Source organism: Homo sapiens, chromosome 22, assembly GCF_000001405.40.
Source record: "Homo sapiens chromosome 22, GRCh38.p14 Primary Assembly".
NCBI classification, from domain to species: Eukaryota; Metazoa; Chordata; class Mammalia; order Primates; family Hominidae; genus Homo; species Homo sapiens.
The window spans coordinates 27,534,361-27,549,989 of record NC_000022.11 but is presented as its reverse complement, the minus strand read 5'-3'; the positions used below and the strand labels follow the sequence as shown (position 1 = coordinate 27,549,989).

The window sequence follows — 15,629 nt, the reverse complement described above, 5'->3', positions numbered from 1 at the left end:
TCACCTCTACCCTTCCAGTCATTCTCTTTGCAGATTCTCTCTCACCCCAGAAAGTGAGCCCAACCTTTGCACATGCTGTTCCTTCTGCCTGAGACTCCAGCTGTCTTCCCGATAGCCTGGTCAGCCCTTTGGATTTTTTGTTTTTTTTTTTTTTGAGATGAAGTCTTGCTCTCTCACCAGGCTGGAGTGCAGTGGTGCGATCTCAGCTCACTGCAAGCTCCACCACCTGGGTTCAAGCAATCCTCCTGCCTCAGCCTCCCAAGTAGCTGGGACTACAGGCGTGCACCCTCACGCCCAGCTAATTTTTTGTATTTTTAGTAGAGACGGGGATTCACGATGTTGGCCAGGATGGTCTTGATCTCTTGACCTCGTGATCCACCCGCCTCGGCCTTCCAAAGTGCTGGGATTACAGGCATGAGCTACTGTGTCCCGCCTGTTTTTTTTTTTTTTAACTCAGTTTTTGAATCAGCATCACATTCAGATGCATCGAAATTCACAAGGTACAGAAATGTATACACCGAAAACTGAAACTGCAAAGCTCTCTCCCATTTTTATTCTTCAGTCCGCCCAGGCCCCTCCTCACAGGCAAACCATGTGTTCAATTTATATGAATCCTTTCAGAGACATTTTATGCAAATATAAGGACATCTTAAAAAGATTATCCACCTGCTGCCTTTTACACAAAAATGTACAATACTCCCTGCATCTTTTCCCACTCACTGTAATTTGGAGCTCTTCCAGATCAGTAAATAAAGTGCTTCCTCATTCATTTTACAGAGCTGCATGGTATTCTGCTGCATGGACACAGCCTCATTTATTGATCTAGTCTCCTGTTGATGGGTATCTAGATTGTTTCTGGTGTTTCGCCATGACTTAAAATGCTTCATTGAATAATATTGTACATCTACCTGCATCTAGGGGAGAAACTATAGCATTCCTTCCTAGGCCTGAAATTACCAATTTATTATATTGCTAGATTGTATCTAATTATCCCCCATAGAGGATACCAATGGACACTTTCCCCAGCCGTGGACTGACTGATGGGTCAGTGTTTTTGAGGACTGTGAACAGTGGTCACCTCCCTCAGGAAGCCTTCCTAGACCTTCAAGCTAGCGCAGGAGCCTTGCCTGGGACCCCATCCCAGCGCCATGCATGTGGCACCCTGTATTGTAATGGACTATTTCTTTTTCTGTTCTTGTCATCGGACTGGCAGCTCCCCAAGACTTGAGACCTGAGACTTTGATTATTGGAGAGTCTTCTCAGTGCAGAGCTGAGGGCTGAGTAAATATCAGCTCCCTTTCAGCAAGCTCCCAGGGCTGGGGGCCCCAGGATGGGCAGCTTCTACTTACACCTCGTTCCCTCTGCCCCAGAGAGAGGGTCTTGGCCTCCGCCTTGACACCTGCAGGCCAGTCCATGTGTGTGGTGTTCCAGCACCGAGCCCCCTCTCCCAGCCTCTGGGGCCTCCACCTTCTCCCTTGAACAAATAATAATTGTTAGAAAAAGGCCTGTGGATAAATTATTATCGTGACCCTCATTCCAGTGCAACAAACTTTTCCTAGCTGCCAAGTGAAAAGTCAAAATTTGCATTTAAATAGAAAACGTTAGGCGGGCTGAACAGGGAGGCCAAGGCCCCCAGAGGCCTCTCTTGGGTGGGGAGCAGCAGCCCCCGAACCTCCTCAGGATCCTAGCAGCGGGGGAAACCTTCAGAGCCTGAGTTGAACCTGGTCCTTTCTGGGGTTCATGGTCTCCTTGGGGCCTATAAGTTCCGGTTTCTGCCACGGTTCCCCAAAGATCCTGCAGTCAGGCCAGATAGACCTCTTAGGTGCTCTCCCTCCATCACCCCTTGAACTTGTTTTCCTTTCTCGACCCACAGTGAGAAGGTAATCACAAACATTAAGAGCAGATAGAAACTTCACAGATCATGTTCAGAGCATAGTTTTAGAGTTAGATTGATGGGTCAGGGCTGGCTCTCTGCTATGTCGCTTAGCCTCTTCAAGCCTCAATTTCCCGATTCGTAAATGACAAATAACACCTTTTTTTTTTTTTTTTTTTTTTTTTTGAGACAGGGTTTCACTCTTGTTGCTCAGGCCGGAGTGTAGTGGCGCGATCTCGGCTCACTGCATGCTCCATCTCCTAGGTTCAAACGATTCTCCTGCCTCAGCCTCCTGAGTAGCTGGGATTACAGGCATGTGCCACTACACCTGGCTAATTTTTTGTATTTTTGGTAGAGACAGGGGTTTCACCATGTTGGCCAGGCTGGTCTCGAACTACTGACCTCAGGTGATCCACCTGCCTCAGCCTCCCAAAGTGCTGTGATTACAGGCGTGAGCCACCATGCCTGGCCAACACCTTTTTTTTTTTTTTTGAGACGGAGTCTCCCTCTGTTGCCTAGGCTGGAGTGCAGTGGCATGATCTCGGCTCACTGCAAGCTCTACCTTCCGGGTTCACGCCATTCTCCTGCCTCAGCCTCCTGAGTTGCTGGGACTACAGGTGCCCATCACCACACCCGGCTAATTTTTTGTATTTTTAGTAGAGACGGGGTTTCACCGTGTTAGTCAGGATGGTCTCGATTCCCTGACCTTGTGATCCACCTGCCTCGGCCTCCCAAAGTGCTGGGATTACAGGCGTGAGCCACTGCGCCCAGCAGGCCAACACCGTTTTATAATTTATGTGTGTGTGTATATATATATATATATATGATGTATAATCATATCATAAGTTACTACATTAACTTATTAACATTAACATGACATGACATGACATTAACATTACAATACATATTTATTATATAATAATACTCATTATTAATTATAATTTACTATAGTTAATAAATGCAGTTATTTCAGTTTGTTAGTCCAGTTCTTTTTTTTTTTGAGATGGAGTCTTGTCTGTTGCCAGGCTAGAGTGCAGTGGCGTATCTCTGCTCACTGCAACCTGCGCCTCCTGGGTTCAAGCGATTCTTGTGCCTCAGCCTCCTGAGTAGCTGGGACTACAGGCGCGTGCCACCACATCCAGCTAATTTTTGTATTTTCAGTAGAGACAGGGTTTCACCATGTTGGCCAGGATGGTCTCAATTTCCTGACCTCGTGATCTCCCCACCTCGGCCACCCAAAGTGCTGGTATTACAGGCGTGAGCCACTGTGCCCGGCCCGTGTTTCATTTCTACCTGGGTCACCGTGGACGCACCAGCTTCTCTGAGCGTCAGCTTCCTCCCTGCAAAGTGGGAAGGCTGGTGATGATCTCAGCATGTCCAGAGTCCAGCTCGGTGGTGTGCATCAGTGCTCAGTGAAAGCTCATGACCAGCTTACAGCCATTTGGTTCTCATATGCATAAGAAGATAAAGACTTCTTATTCAATTCAGCAGTTGTATCTTGAGCTCTAACTCTGTGCCCATTGCTGGTATACAGCCTTCTTTCTTAGATGTGATCAAAAGCATCCCTAGGAGGGCAGGGACACTGTCTGCATCGCAACTGTTGCATCCTGATATGGTTTTGCTGTGTCCCCATCTAAATCTCATCGTGAATTGTAGTTCCCATAATCCCCACATGTCGTGGGAGAGACCAGGTGGAGATAATTGAATCATGGGGCGGTTTCCCCCATCCTGTTCTCGTGATAGTGAGTGAGTTCTCACGAGATCTGATGGTTTTATAAGGGGCATTTCCCCTTTTGCTCGGCACTTCTCCTTGCTGCCACCACGTGAAGAGGGATGTGTCTGCTTTCCCTTCCCCCAGGATTGTAAGTTACCTGAGGCCTCCCCAGCCGGGCAGAACTGTGAGTCAGTTAAACCTCTTTCCTTTATAAATTAGCCACTCTCTAATATGTCTTTATTAGCAGTGTGAGAATGGACTAATGTACACCCACACTGCCCAGCACATAGTAGGTGCTTAATAAATATTTGTGTCTAAAAGTTGTGAATAAAAGTTGCTTTTTCTTCAGCCTCCAGGACAATGCATGGCAAATAGTAGGTGCTCAATAAAACTTGGCTGGAGGAGGGAGTGTAGGTACAGAGGAAATATATGGCTAGAGTTCTGAGTGGCTTGATCAGAATAGGCATTTGGAGCCACATGGATCTCACATGGGACCCTTCTCCTCTGTTGACACATGTTGGCCATTGCCCTACTATGTGGTCACTCTGTTGGTCTCCCAACAAAAAGCTGGGCTGAAATTCTCTAGGTGAGAGGGAACAGCAGAGGCCTCTGTACTTAGGGCTTGTGGTGCTGGGGAAAAACAGGATCTGAGTGGGAGAACTTGCACCTGACAAGGGTGGCCAGTGCCCTTGCTGGACATGTAGGTACTGCAGAAGGGGAAGAGGGGCTGAGTGCTGGAAAGATCACCAGCATCTTCCCAGAGGAGGGGACCTCTGAGATGTGCTGGCTCAGGCTCAGGACAAGGTCAAAGGCAACCATTTGTCCAGTGAATTGGGGGTCTGGGGAGGATGCCAAAACTAGGTTGCAATATGAACACGGGAGACAGGAGGTTGGAGGGTGGGGCTGCCAGGGGCTGGGGCTCCTGAACGCTGCACACACCATCAGTCTGTTATGAAGGAGCTGATGTGGGCTACACAGAAATCTAACTCATAGCAGAATGTTCATCAGACTGCTCCTCCTGCTCTGCTCCTATCTGCCAGCCTTTCCACTACTCTCTCTCCTCTCTCAGATTTCACAGCACTGGGGAGATGGATCTGTCATTATCATGCCTTCTAAGTGCTGTGTACTGAGCTACTCATTTTCCACAAGCGGAGACTCTAGCAAGCACGTCCCCAAACTACAGCAGTGGTTTATTGCACGTCCCTTGAGCCCCCCAGGTTTATACAATCATCCCATTTTAAATCCCAGCGATTGAACCAAACAGGTGTTCTTATTCCCACGTTACAGCCGAGGAAATGGATTCTCAGAGGGGTCAAGAAATCAGCTCAGGACCACGCAGCCAGGAAGCAGTGGAGTGGGATCTCAAGCACTGTGTCTGTCAGATTTTTAAACATGTATTTTTAGGGAAAACATGTCTATGTAATTTTTTTTAACATAATTAAAATGGAAGGAATCAAATATACAGTGATACATATTATTGAGAAACGTGGAGTTAAGAAATGGGTGAAAGTGTGGAAAATAGCTGCCTCTGGGAAGCAACATGGGGAGGGAGGGAGTGGGGGGTGGGGTGGGGACCCCTCATTTAGTTTACAAGCCTTACAGTGCTACTGGATTTTGTTTTTAACTATGAGCCTGCATTCCTTTTTTTTTTTTCTTTTCTTTTCTTTTTTTTTTTTTTTTTTTTTGAGATGAAGTTTCACTCTTGTCACCCAGGCTGGAGTGCAGTGGTGTGATCTCAGCTCACTGCAAACTCCACCTCCCAGGTTCAAGCAATTCTCCCGCCTCAGCCTCCCAAATAGCTGGGACTACAGGCATGCACCACCATGCCCGGCTAATTTTTGTATTTTTAGTAGAGACGGGGTTTCACCATGTTGGCCAGGCTGGTCTTGATCTCCTGACCTCGCAATCCATCCACCTCGGCCTCCCAAAGTGCTGGGATAACAGGCGTGAGCCACCGAGCCTGGCCGCCTGCATTCCTTTTACAGAAAATAAAAGATTAATTATAAAAAGTGACAATTTCCCATAAAAGACTACCTAAACCGTCTTCAAGGTCCTCAGGGGGAAAGGAAGCTCTCAGCAGCTCAGGTCCCACCCCAGCCCATGGAGGTCAGATTTCTAATTTTTAAGGTTGCACGGCATCCCTCCAGCCTGGCCACATCTTGTCCCCAATAATAGACATGGTGGTTGTTTCCACATTTGCAAGAAGCAGCCAGGCTGAGAGCTAGCACGGATTCTCAGCCTCCCTGGTACCGACTCTGGGCTCATCTGACCTTATACTTGGTGGGACCCCCTAAGGGCAGAGGCTGGGCCCCACCCGCTTTCTACTCCTGGTACCCAGCTCCTGCCCTACCACAGTGACCTTCCTCCACAGCAGGACTGACCAGGCAGACCAGAGCCTGTCCTTGGTCTCTCTGGTTGAATTAGAGGAGACAGAGAATTGCCCAGATAAACTTCCCTAATTACAGTCAGTAATCGGTCCTCTGAAGGAGATCGCCTGTGCTGAGAGTTGGCAACAGGGAGGGCTTCCTGGAGGAAGTGACATTTGTGTTGACCTCTGAGGGCATGGAGAGGCATGAAGCCAGCCAAGGTGCTGGGAACAGATGTCTAAGTCAAGGGAACAGCATGGATGAGGGCCATAAGAAGGGAAGAGGTTGGTTGTCCAAGGAACCACCTGGACACCAGTGTGGCTGGACACATGGGAGGAGGGGAGCAGGGAGAAGGGAAGATGAAGGAGGAGGGAAGGGAGGAGGGAAGAAGAGGCAGGGAGGGGAGGAGGCAGGGAAGAAAGAGGAAGGGAGGAAGGAGGAGAGGTGGGGAGCGGGAAAGAGAGATATAGGGAAGAGGGAGACAGGGAGGAGGGAGCAGAGAAACAGGGAGGAGGGAGGAAGAAGGAAGGGAGGGCCGGGCCAGGATTCCCCAGGGGACCTTGTCTCAGCAGGATGAGATCAGTGCTCAGGGCTGCCAGGAGGCCTTGGTCCTGGGACACCTTACCTGGGAGAAGAGCTGGAAGCTCTGAGGGCTGGAGTCCCCTCAGTGGGCAAGAGGAGGTGCTCCCTAGGCTGGACAGGCCTAAGAGAGACACCCCAATGAGCTAAGCCCCACGGAAAGGTTAACCAGGTTCCCGCTTCCCTCACTAGAGTCCCTTTACACATTTACAATGTACCAGTCAAACCAATTAGCCATAAAATGTTGTAGGGACTGCATTTTATTGGATTCTGTTCAACTCAGAATTGGTTAAATAATGTCTGCTAAGAAAAATAAAAGCACCACACAAGACCCTCCAGGTGGGGGTCCCTGGAGGCCTGTGGTGCAGCTGGGGAAATGGGTTGGACCTGGGCTGGGAAAGGTTGTGCTGAACTTCTGTAAGGACATCTCTGCCCACAAAAAGTGGGGGTGGTGGTCCTCACAGATCTTTGAGCCCCCCGTGGGTCTCAACCTTATCAGGTCATTCGAATCCCTGGGGAACTTTTGAAACCGACAGCATGAATGCCTGGGCTGCCACCCAGAGCGGTTGCATCTGAACTATGGAGCAGAGCACCATTCACCTCTCCAAGTCCTCCCAAGGGGATCTGCTGTGCAGCTGGGGCTGGCTCTACTCCAGTGTCTCTACTGGGGGTGATGTTGTCTCTGCACCCAGAGGAGGTTTGGCAATGTCTAGAGATGTTGTTGGTTGTTACAACTGGAGGGGGCGGCTGCTGGGATGCAGTGGGTAGAGGCCAGGGATGCTGCTTGACATCCTGCAATGGACAGGACGGCTCCCCAACAGGAACCCTCCAAGCTCAAGCATTAGTAGTGCTGAGGCTGAGAGACCTTGAACTGGTCTAATCTACCTGTTTGACAGATGAGGAAACTGAGGTTCAGACCGGTCAGTGGGGTGTATCTGGGGTCACACAGAGCCTGGCAAGCAGGGCTCATGAATGTCCATCCCTGGGTGGTGTACCTGACACTGCTAAATGCTCAGGGTTAGAGATTGTTCTGTTAGATTCTGCAGGCCAAGGTGATCAAGTGACTTTGACGGACATAGCCTGACCCAGGCTGGGGTGAGTCTGAGGGTCTGAGGACTGTACCACTTCTATACGTTGTTCATCTTCCCCTGAGGAAACTCCAGACAGAGCCCATTCCTCTAGCAGGCTTGACCCCAAAAAATGGTTCCACAGAGGGCAAGAGAGGCCTGTTTTGATGTTGCAGAGGGCACAGGCCTGAAGAGGTTTCAACCCCATGCCTTTGGTCATGGACTGCCGAGGGACCATCCATTTGGCCATTTGTGCATCCTGTGGGGGTAATCTGAGCCGTGTGCAGGGCTGGGGGACCAGGCTAATTGCAGGCTTGGAGAAAGCCACATTGAGCAGTGACGGCGGGCAGTCGGGCAGGCGTCTGGGGCCGGGATGGTACCTGATTAGCTAAATTGCCAGCACCTGCTTGCTTTTATTGCAAACATAAACACGGCCGTGCAGACAATCGCCAGCGAGCCTAATGTTTTCCGCGTTTGCCACATCTGCAAGGTCCAGGGTCGGGCAGGGGGAGGCTCAGGCCTCAGCAGAATGGGAAGACAGAGAGAACTGGGTGAAAAGGCGCTGGATTAGGCACTGGAGGAGGGAATTCACACTTGGTGAGAGGACACTTCTGTGGCAGGCACGGCGCGAGGCCTTTCTATCCCCGTGCAAAGACATCTGACCCTCAAAGCCTTCCTGCGAAAATAGTATCACTTTTCTTTTTGGGACTCAGAAAAGTTAAGCGATGTCCTCTGAGTGATGTAGCCAGGAAGCAGCTGATACAGAATTTGTATTCGGGTCTTTCCGTTTCCAAAGCCCCTATTCTTTTTACTAACTGGAGATAGGGAGTCCTGGGGGTTCCTATTGTGATTTATTTAACTTTGCATCTGCAGCACCAAGCAATTAGCCAGTGATTGCGTGTGTGTTCAGGAAAAGAAACACTATTTCTAGTCTTCCCAGTAATTTGCTAGGCGACCGCAAATTTGCCATTTCTTCTTTCTGTGCCTCAGTTTCTATATCTGTAAAGTGGTCATCTAGTTGCCTATCTTCTGCTTTCTGAACTGCGGGACAAGGAGCATGGTGTGTGGGAGCTTAGCCTGCAAAGTTGTCTGAGATCAAGTCCAGCACTGGCTGCCATCACCCACTGAGGCTCCTCCGTGCTTCATGGAACAGTGTCGGCTGTCACGTCGGTCGCGTGATCCCAGGATGAGTCCGAGGCCTGCAGGACCCCACCACGGCTAAGGCAATATTGACTTCAGCCCTCTCTCAGCAATTGGCTGACAAGACAAACGGCCAAGGAAACCATTTCAAATTAACTCCGTCTCCATTACAGGCGCTTTTATTAAGATAAACTATTTGGAGGATGTTTACAGGAGAGAGCCCTTTGGAGCTGGCCAGAAGGTCAGAGGGAAAGTCGGACCGGACTGCACAATTGTCATTTGCAGGCGAGCGGCACTTCTCTCAGATTCAAATGTGCGTCTCTCCCAGTCAGTGACAGATGCTTCAAGCCTGTGACATGCTTTGTCAGAATTTCATTTGTCCGAGCAAGCTTCAGCCTCGTTCTTGGCAGATGCCAACGATAGGGGAGCGTGTGCGTTTAAATTCCCTTCTGCAGTCCTTGGAAATGAAGTGCGGGTATTTCTCCATCAGTGCAGAGGAAATTGCCAAATGTGTCCTAGAGCCCAGGAGAAGGGCAAATTTTCATTCATTCATTCATTCATTCACTCACTCATTCATCGCTCCCCTTGCTGATTATAGTAACTGGTTTATTAAATAGTTCTTGTTGTCATTTAGTCATTCCTCTAATCGCTTTGAATCTTGACTTCTTGTGTGTCCTTATGTATGTCAGAGCCTCAGTTTCTGCTCCTGGGAATGGGAATGATGATAGTTTAGGATGACACGAGGGCTAAACACTTTGTTTACTCCCTGGCGCTCTGTTTACTCCCTGGCACTCGGCAAACACCCGCAGGAAGGAGCTGGTACTGTGGCTGGGGAGGGAGTCGTGGAAACTAACTCCATCCTGCAGAGGTTAGGTCGCTGCTCACAGCGTGGTGTGTGGATGAAGTGGATTGAGCCCACCAGGGGTCTGGTTCCGGAACCTTTATTCCTTCCTTTGGATCTGCTCTTCTGCACGTGTTGCCTGGGTGTGGTGACAGCCCTGCACTATCAGCTCCACAGTTAAGTGGTATTTGCAGAGCGCAGATCCAAACTCAGATTCTTAGGTCGCCTCTTGGATGTCTCTAGGGTGGGGTCATCTTCTGTAGGATTCCCCAGCAGCCAGTGCAGGCTATAAGTGGTATTCATTGCCATCTTTTCCAGAAAGCAACATTAGGCAAAGGCCCCCCTGGGGCCAAAGAATTGACTTTCTCTTGAACCTTGGGCTGGCCATTCTCTTCTCTCCAGGCCTCAGCTTTCTCCTGTAGGCAGTGGGCCCTTGAGTCATATCAGCCTCTTTTGGACTCTGAAATGATATGACTTTTTAAGTGGAGAGGATGGGTGTCACCACAACCCGAGGAATTGCTGTTTGGGGTGCTTGGACCACACAGTAAACATTCACCAGTGCTTGAAAACTCCTTCTCCTAGAATTCCTGTCCCCAGAGACCTTCCTTCTCTGGAGCCCCAAGTCCCTGCCAACACCCATTCCACCCCCAAGGGACTCTCAGCACCCAGAGATTCCCTGTAGCAAACAGGCTCCCAGGAAACACCAAAGATTCTCTTTTTGGAGTTCTCTGAGGATGACAAACACTCCCGTTTCTCCTGTACCAAATTCCTTTTCTCAGCTCAGGGAGCCTTATCAAGCTGGACCATGTCCCATGTACTGTGAGTGACATGTCACAACCTGGTCTGGGCACAAGAGGCAGGTGAGTATATGATATAGCCTGATGGGCTGCCGCACATGTGAAATGGGTATGTGTTGGGAGAGCGGGATGTGGCTGGCAGGCTGAGTGGAGGGAAGGTTTCCCCTGGCTTTGCCAGAGCTATTTTATTTTATTTTGCCTTGTGTTTTGAGATGGGGTCTCACTATGCTGCCCAGCCTAGTCTCTAACTCCTGGGCTCAAAAAATCCTCCCACCTCAGCCTCCCAAGCAGCTGGGACCATAGGTGTATGGCACCATGCCCAGCTAATCTTCGTATTTTTTTGTAGAGACACAGTTCCACTTTGTTACCCAGGCTGGTCTCGAACTCCTGGGCTTAAGTAATCTTCCTGTTTTGGCCTCCCAAAGTGCTGGGATTACAGGTATGAGCCACGGCACCCAGCCAACTTTGCCCAGAGCTTTGCTCTCCACTTGGAGAGAGCCCAGAAAGGTGGAGAATTCCTACGGTCATCTGGGCAATGGCTACAGCAAAGTCAATGGCAAAGGAAAGTAAAGAACATTCCACGATATATATTTAGGAGGCTGGGAGACGGGAAAAGGAAATCAGGTTAGATTCTCAGAGTTCGCAGCCTAAGCAGGTCTCCAAGGTCCCCGAGAGAGGTTGTGGGATCCAGATGTGGACAGGGAAGGAGGAAGGGGGAGGGGAGGCAGCCCGGGGAGAGGGGGAGGTCTGTTCACAATTAGCCTTGATTTTGTGTGATGACATTCAAATTGTGGGCAAACATGAAAGCAGAGTGGTGAGGACACGTCTGTCCGAGAAGCTGGAGGATTAATCCGACGTGAAGGACGTGGGCCGAGGGCTGGTACCACATGGAAGCGTTTTGTGTGGGTTTTGATGTCCCGCCAGCTGAGGGGCCCTCCACCCCCACCCCTGCTCCCTCACAACTAGCTGACTCTGGGCGAGAGAGGTTAAGTCCCGAACACCAGGAGGTTCTACCTCCTGCGGAACTGCCCTCTGGCCTGCCCAGAACTGAAACCAGCATGGTGGCCCTGGATGTCCCCAGAAAGTCAGGCACTGGGGGGTACCCTGCTGGCTCCAAAGGTGACAGTGGCGGGCGAGTGTCTGTAAGCTATTTTCAATATTTCTGATATTACAAAGGCTGGGATAGCCCACATGCTGGGGGGTTGGCAGGCAACTGCCTTCTCATAAGGCTGTGTCGGGATAGGCCTTGGTTGGGAATCTTGGAATTTTATAGTTGAGGCCATTTGGGAGCCCCAGGGTCACCTAGCAAGGGTTCTGGCTCAGGATGAGCCTTCTCATTGAACTAAATCCAGGAAGAAGCATCATTCTGATGTCTCCTTACAGAGCTGAATGTTGGGACTGGAGAGAAAGATGTGGCCTAAGTTACAACTCCAGGCTCTACCCCTTACCATGTAAGTGCCCCTGACAGGAGCCAACCCTCCCTTAAGCCTCAGTTTCCTTGTCTGTAAAATGGGGAGAATCATCAGTCCTCCCTTGGAGGATAGATGTGAGAACTGGATGCTCTAGTGTTGATAAAACGGTAGCATCTAAGAAGCAAGCCAGTCAGTGGCTGTCACCATTTCCAGCCCTCTTGGAGATGGTGAGCTCTCAAATAGGGCAATTATCATTATCAGTGTTATTATTGACATTGCTGTTTATTGTTATTATGAAAGGGTTTTGTTAAAGACACAGAGTGTTACAACATGTGTCTGTTGCGAAAATTAGGGCAAGGATTCCTTTCCATCAATTCAGGCGGCAGGCTGCGGCTGTCCCCTCCAGACGCTCAGCTGTAGCCCTCCAGCCCCGTTGTTCGTGACCTGGGGCCCCATCACGTGCCGGTGGGCCGACTGCCAGGCATCTAAAGCCGTCTGGAAGCCCAGAGCCCCTTGGATCGGAGTGGAGGAGCGCATTTCACGCAGTCCCTGTGACCCCTGGAGGTCCCTGGGGAGACAGGAAGGAAGGGGCTCTGTTACGGTGGAGGAGGGGTTGGGAGAGGCTCTTTGGAGGAGAGAAGGAGTTGATGAAATTTCAGGATGTACAGAGGTCAGCTTCCAGCCGGCTTGTCTAGCTTAGAGAAAAGTGATCGCCACCCCAAACACGCTTCTTAATGAAGCACAGCCTGTGCTTACAAGCCATTCCCTTCCTGCCTTTTCCCTCTAGGAGGAAATTCTAAATCTTGAACACAAACGGCCAAAGAATTATATTTACATATATTTATATTTTATATTCACACATATCTAGGGAGCTGGGAGCAAGGGAAAAAAAAGACTAAGGTTTATTCTGGACAGCAGTGATGTTTCATAAGAGCAAATGAAGAGAGGTGAATAGTGGTCGAGCTTGCCTTGGTGTTTGAGCTTTAAACACAGAACCAGGTCTGTCCCTCTGAGGAGTAGAATTAAATTGTTCAAAGCAATAAATGGGAAAAGGTCTGCAAGTGTAATATGGATGGGAAGAGTGGGATAGGAAGGTGAACTTTGCATGGTTGTTCATGAGGGTTGGCCCAGCTGGGTCTAGGCATGAGGTCTAAGGGGCTGACTATCCATCTAAGTCAAATGAGGAAGCTTGCCTTGCTCTAGCGTGTTGCAGAAGAGAAAAGCAACAAGATCTGTACCCATGTGGGTAAATCAGAGAAAGATAGGAAGCAGGGAAGCTTGGCCATTCCATGCAGGAGAAGGCCCTGCCACTGGCAAACCTGGCCCAGTCACTGCCCCAAATCTAAGCAACTTGGGGTGACTCCTTCTCAGTGGGAGAGATAAGCTGGGGAAGGGGTTGTTGAGACAGGGCAAGCACACACCTGGAGCAATGTTAAACATGCACCTGTAATCCCAGCACTTTGGGAGGCTGAGGTGGGAGGATCACTTGAGCTCAGGACTTCGAGACCAGCTTGGGCCACATGGCAAAACCCTGTCTCTACAAAAAAAACCCAAAACAAAACAAAAAAATTAGCTGGGCATGGTGATGTGTGCCTGTAGTCCCAGCTACTCGGGAGGCTGAGGGAGGACGACGGCTGGGAATTTAAGGTTGCAGTGAGCCATGATTGTGCCACTGCACTGCAGCCTGGGCAACAGAGTAAGACCCTGTCAAAAAATAATAATAATAGAGTTCACATTCCCTTTCCCAGCAGAAAACATCAGGGACATGGGTGGGTAGTGCCCCTACAGGGCCGCACAGTTGGGCAAAGCTGTCCATTCAGGCCTTACCCCAAGTCCCTGTAGAAAAAGGGAGGCCCAGATACCTGAAGGTGCTGGGAGGTCATTTTTCTAGGAAGGCCCTATAATAAGACAGCCGTCTTCCTTCCCAGTAGGCTCCACACAGAGGACCCTGAGGCCTAGAAGTGACTTGGCCAAGGTCACTTGGCTGCTAGGCAGCAAAGCCAGCACTTGACCCAGGACTTTCTGACTCCAAAGACCAAACCCTTTTTAAAACTTATTTTTATGGAGATATTTTATACAAATAAAATGAAATACATAAGGTAGGCATAAGGGACAAAGCAAAACCAAACAAACAATAGCCTCTCCACCACCGAGCTTGAGAAATGCAATGCTACCCATGCGGCTAAGCCCTGTGGACTCCACCACACTTGCTACCTACCTGTCTCTATTGCCAAGGCTAACCCCTCTTCCGGGTTCAGGGTTGGCTCTTTGTTAGTGACTTATTACGTGTATAAGATTCCTAGATACTATAGTGTAGGGTTTGCCTGTTTTTGAACTCAGTATAAATGGAATCCCACTGTGTATTTTCTTCTTTATCTTTCCTCATTCTGTTTTGAGATTCCTTTATGTTGTCGCATGCACCGTAATTAATTAATTAATTAATCAGTTTTAATTCTTTTTTTTGAAATCATTAAAGACTCACACAAAGTTGAAAAAATAATACAGAGAGAACCTGTGAACCCTTCACCCAGCTTCCCCCAATGATAATACCTTTCAAGGCCATAGTAAAAATGATCAAAACAGGAAATTGACACAATAGTACAATCTCATTGAGGTTACTACTGTGGAGACTCAGCTTGGGATGATTTAGCTTGGATGAGACAAAACACACCCCTGGATCTGTGGGACCCAGAGCCCATGCACCTAACCACTGGACAATACTATTAACTCAGGGGTGGACCATATTCAGATGTCATCAGTTTTTTGTTTTTTTTTTTTTTTTTTTTTTTTTACATGCATCTTTTATTTCTTCCCCCGACCCCAGGTGTACAGTTCTTGAAAATGTGTGTAGGTTTGAATAACCATCCCAACAGTCAAGATACAGAGCTATTCCACCAGGAAAAGATTCCCTGGTATCGTTCCATAGTGATGTGGTTAATTCATTTTTAGGGCTGTGTGGGAGTCCTTCGCTTAGCTGTGCCACAGTTGATTCATGCGATCTCCTGGCCATGGCACTAAGGTGTTTTCTCGCCCAAAACTCCCTTGAACACACTGCTATGAGCATCCATGTGTATATCTTGAGCACATCAGCCAGAATTCTTTTTGGGCGTCTTCTTAGGGGTGAAATTGCTGAGTCAGAGGGTATGTGCATCTTCCACATGAGGCTACATTGCCAAATTCTTTTCCAAGTGGTTGTCATAATTCACACTCTCACCAGCAGCATACTACACTGTTTCCCAAGAGGCCCCGACCGGGCCACAAAACCAGTATCCGTACAGCACTGTTTACAAAACCCATCAACACTCCTTACGCTGGTTAACCCTCACAGGCCCTGGTGACATAGGCATGAGTTATCACCTCGTGTCTGTTCAGAAAAAGAAGCCAGAGCTGAAGTGACCCACTCAGGTTCACACAGTGTGCAAAGTCCAGGTTGCAGACTCCAGACCTTGTTATCTTTCCCGTAAAAACCCAAGGCTAGGCATGGTGGCTCATACCTGTAATCCCAGAGCTTTTGGGGACAGAGGTGGGGCTATCCCTTGAGCCCAAGAGTTCTGTAATTCTGGGATCATCAAGATTTTTGAGCCACCAGGATTCTGCCTTGAGACCAGCCTGGACAACATGGTGAGATGCCCCTCTACACAAAATTAAAATTTTATCTCTACACAAAGTTTAAAAAAATTAGCTGGGTATGGTGGTGCATGCCTATAGTCCCAGCTACTATGGAAGCTGGGGAGGGAGGATCACTTGAGCGCAGGAGTTTGAGGCTGCAGTGAACTATGTTTGAGCTGCTCTGCTCCAGCCTAGGCGACAGATTTTAAATAAATAAAACCCAGTGCTTGT

The 15,629-nt window shown here is 49.1% G+C and overlaps 1 long non-coding RNA gene across 1 annotated transcript in view, besides 2 other annotated features; it reads left to right on the top strand.

The window, feature by feature from the left end:
• Positions 1–15,629, top strand: part of LOC105372981 (uncharacterized) — a 56,572-nt gene that overhangs the window by 11,501 nt on the left and 29,442 nt on the right. The gene's annotated exons all lie outside the window — the stretch shown is intronic.
• Positions 7,428–7,928: an enhancer, noted in NCBI's record as "H3K4me1 hESC enhancer chr22:27938023-27938523 (GRCh37/hg19 assembly coordinates)". NCBI's record gives its function as "activates a minimal SCP1, AML or CMV promoter by ChIP-STARR-seq in naive H9 embryonic stem cells {active_cell/tissue: H9 hESC(naive)}" and the evidence as "EXISTENCE:reporter gene assay evidence [ECO:0000049][PMID:30033119]".
• Positions 7,929–8,429: an enhancer, noted in NCBI's record as "H3K4me1 hESC enhancer chr22:27937522-27938022 (GRCh37/hg19 assembly coordinates)". NCBI's record gives its function as "activates a minimal SCP1, AML or CMV promoter by ChIP-STARR-seq in naive H9 embryonic stem cells {active_cell/tissue: H9 hESC(naive)}" and the evidence as "EXISTENCE:reporter gene assay evidence [ECO:0000049][PMID:30033119]".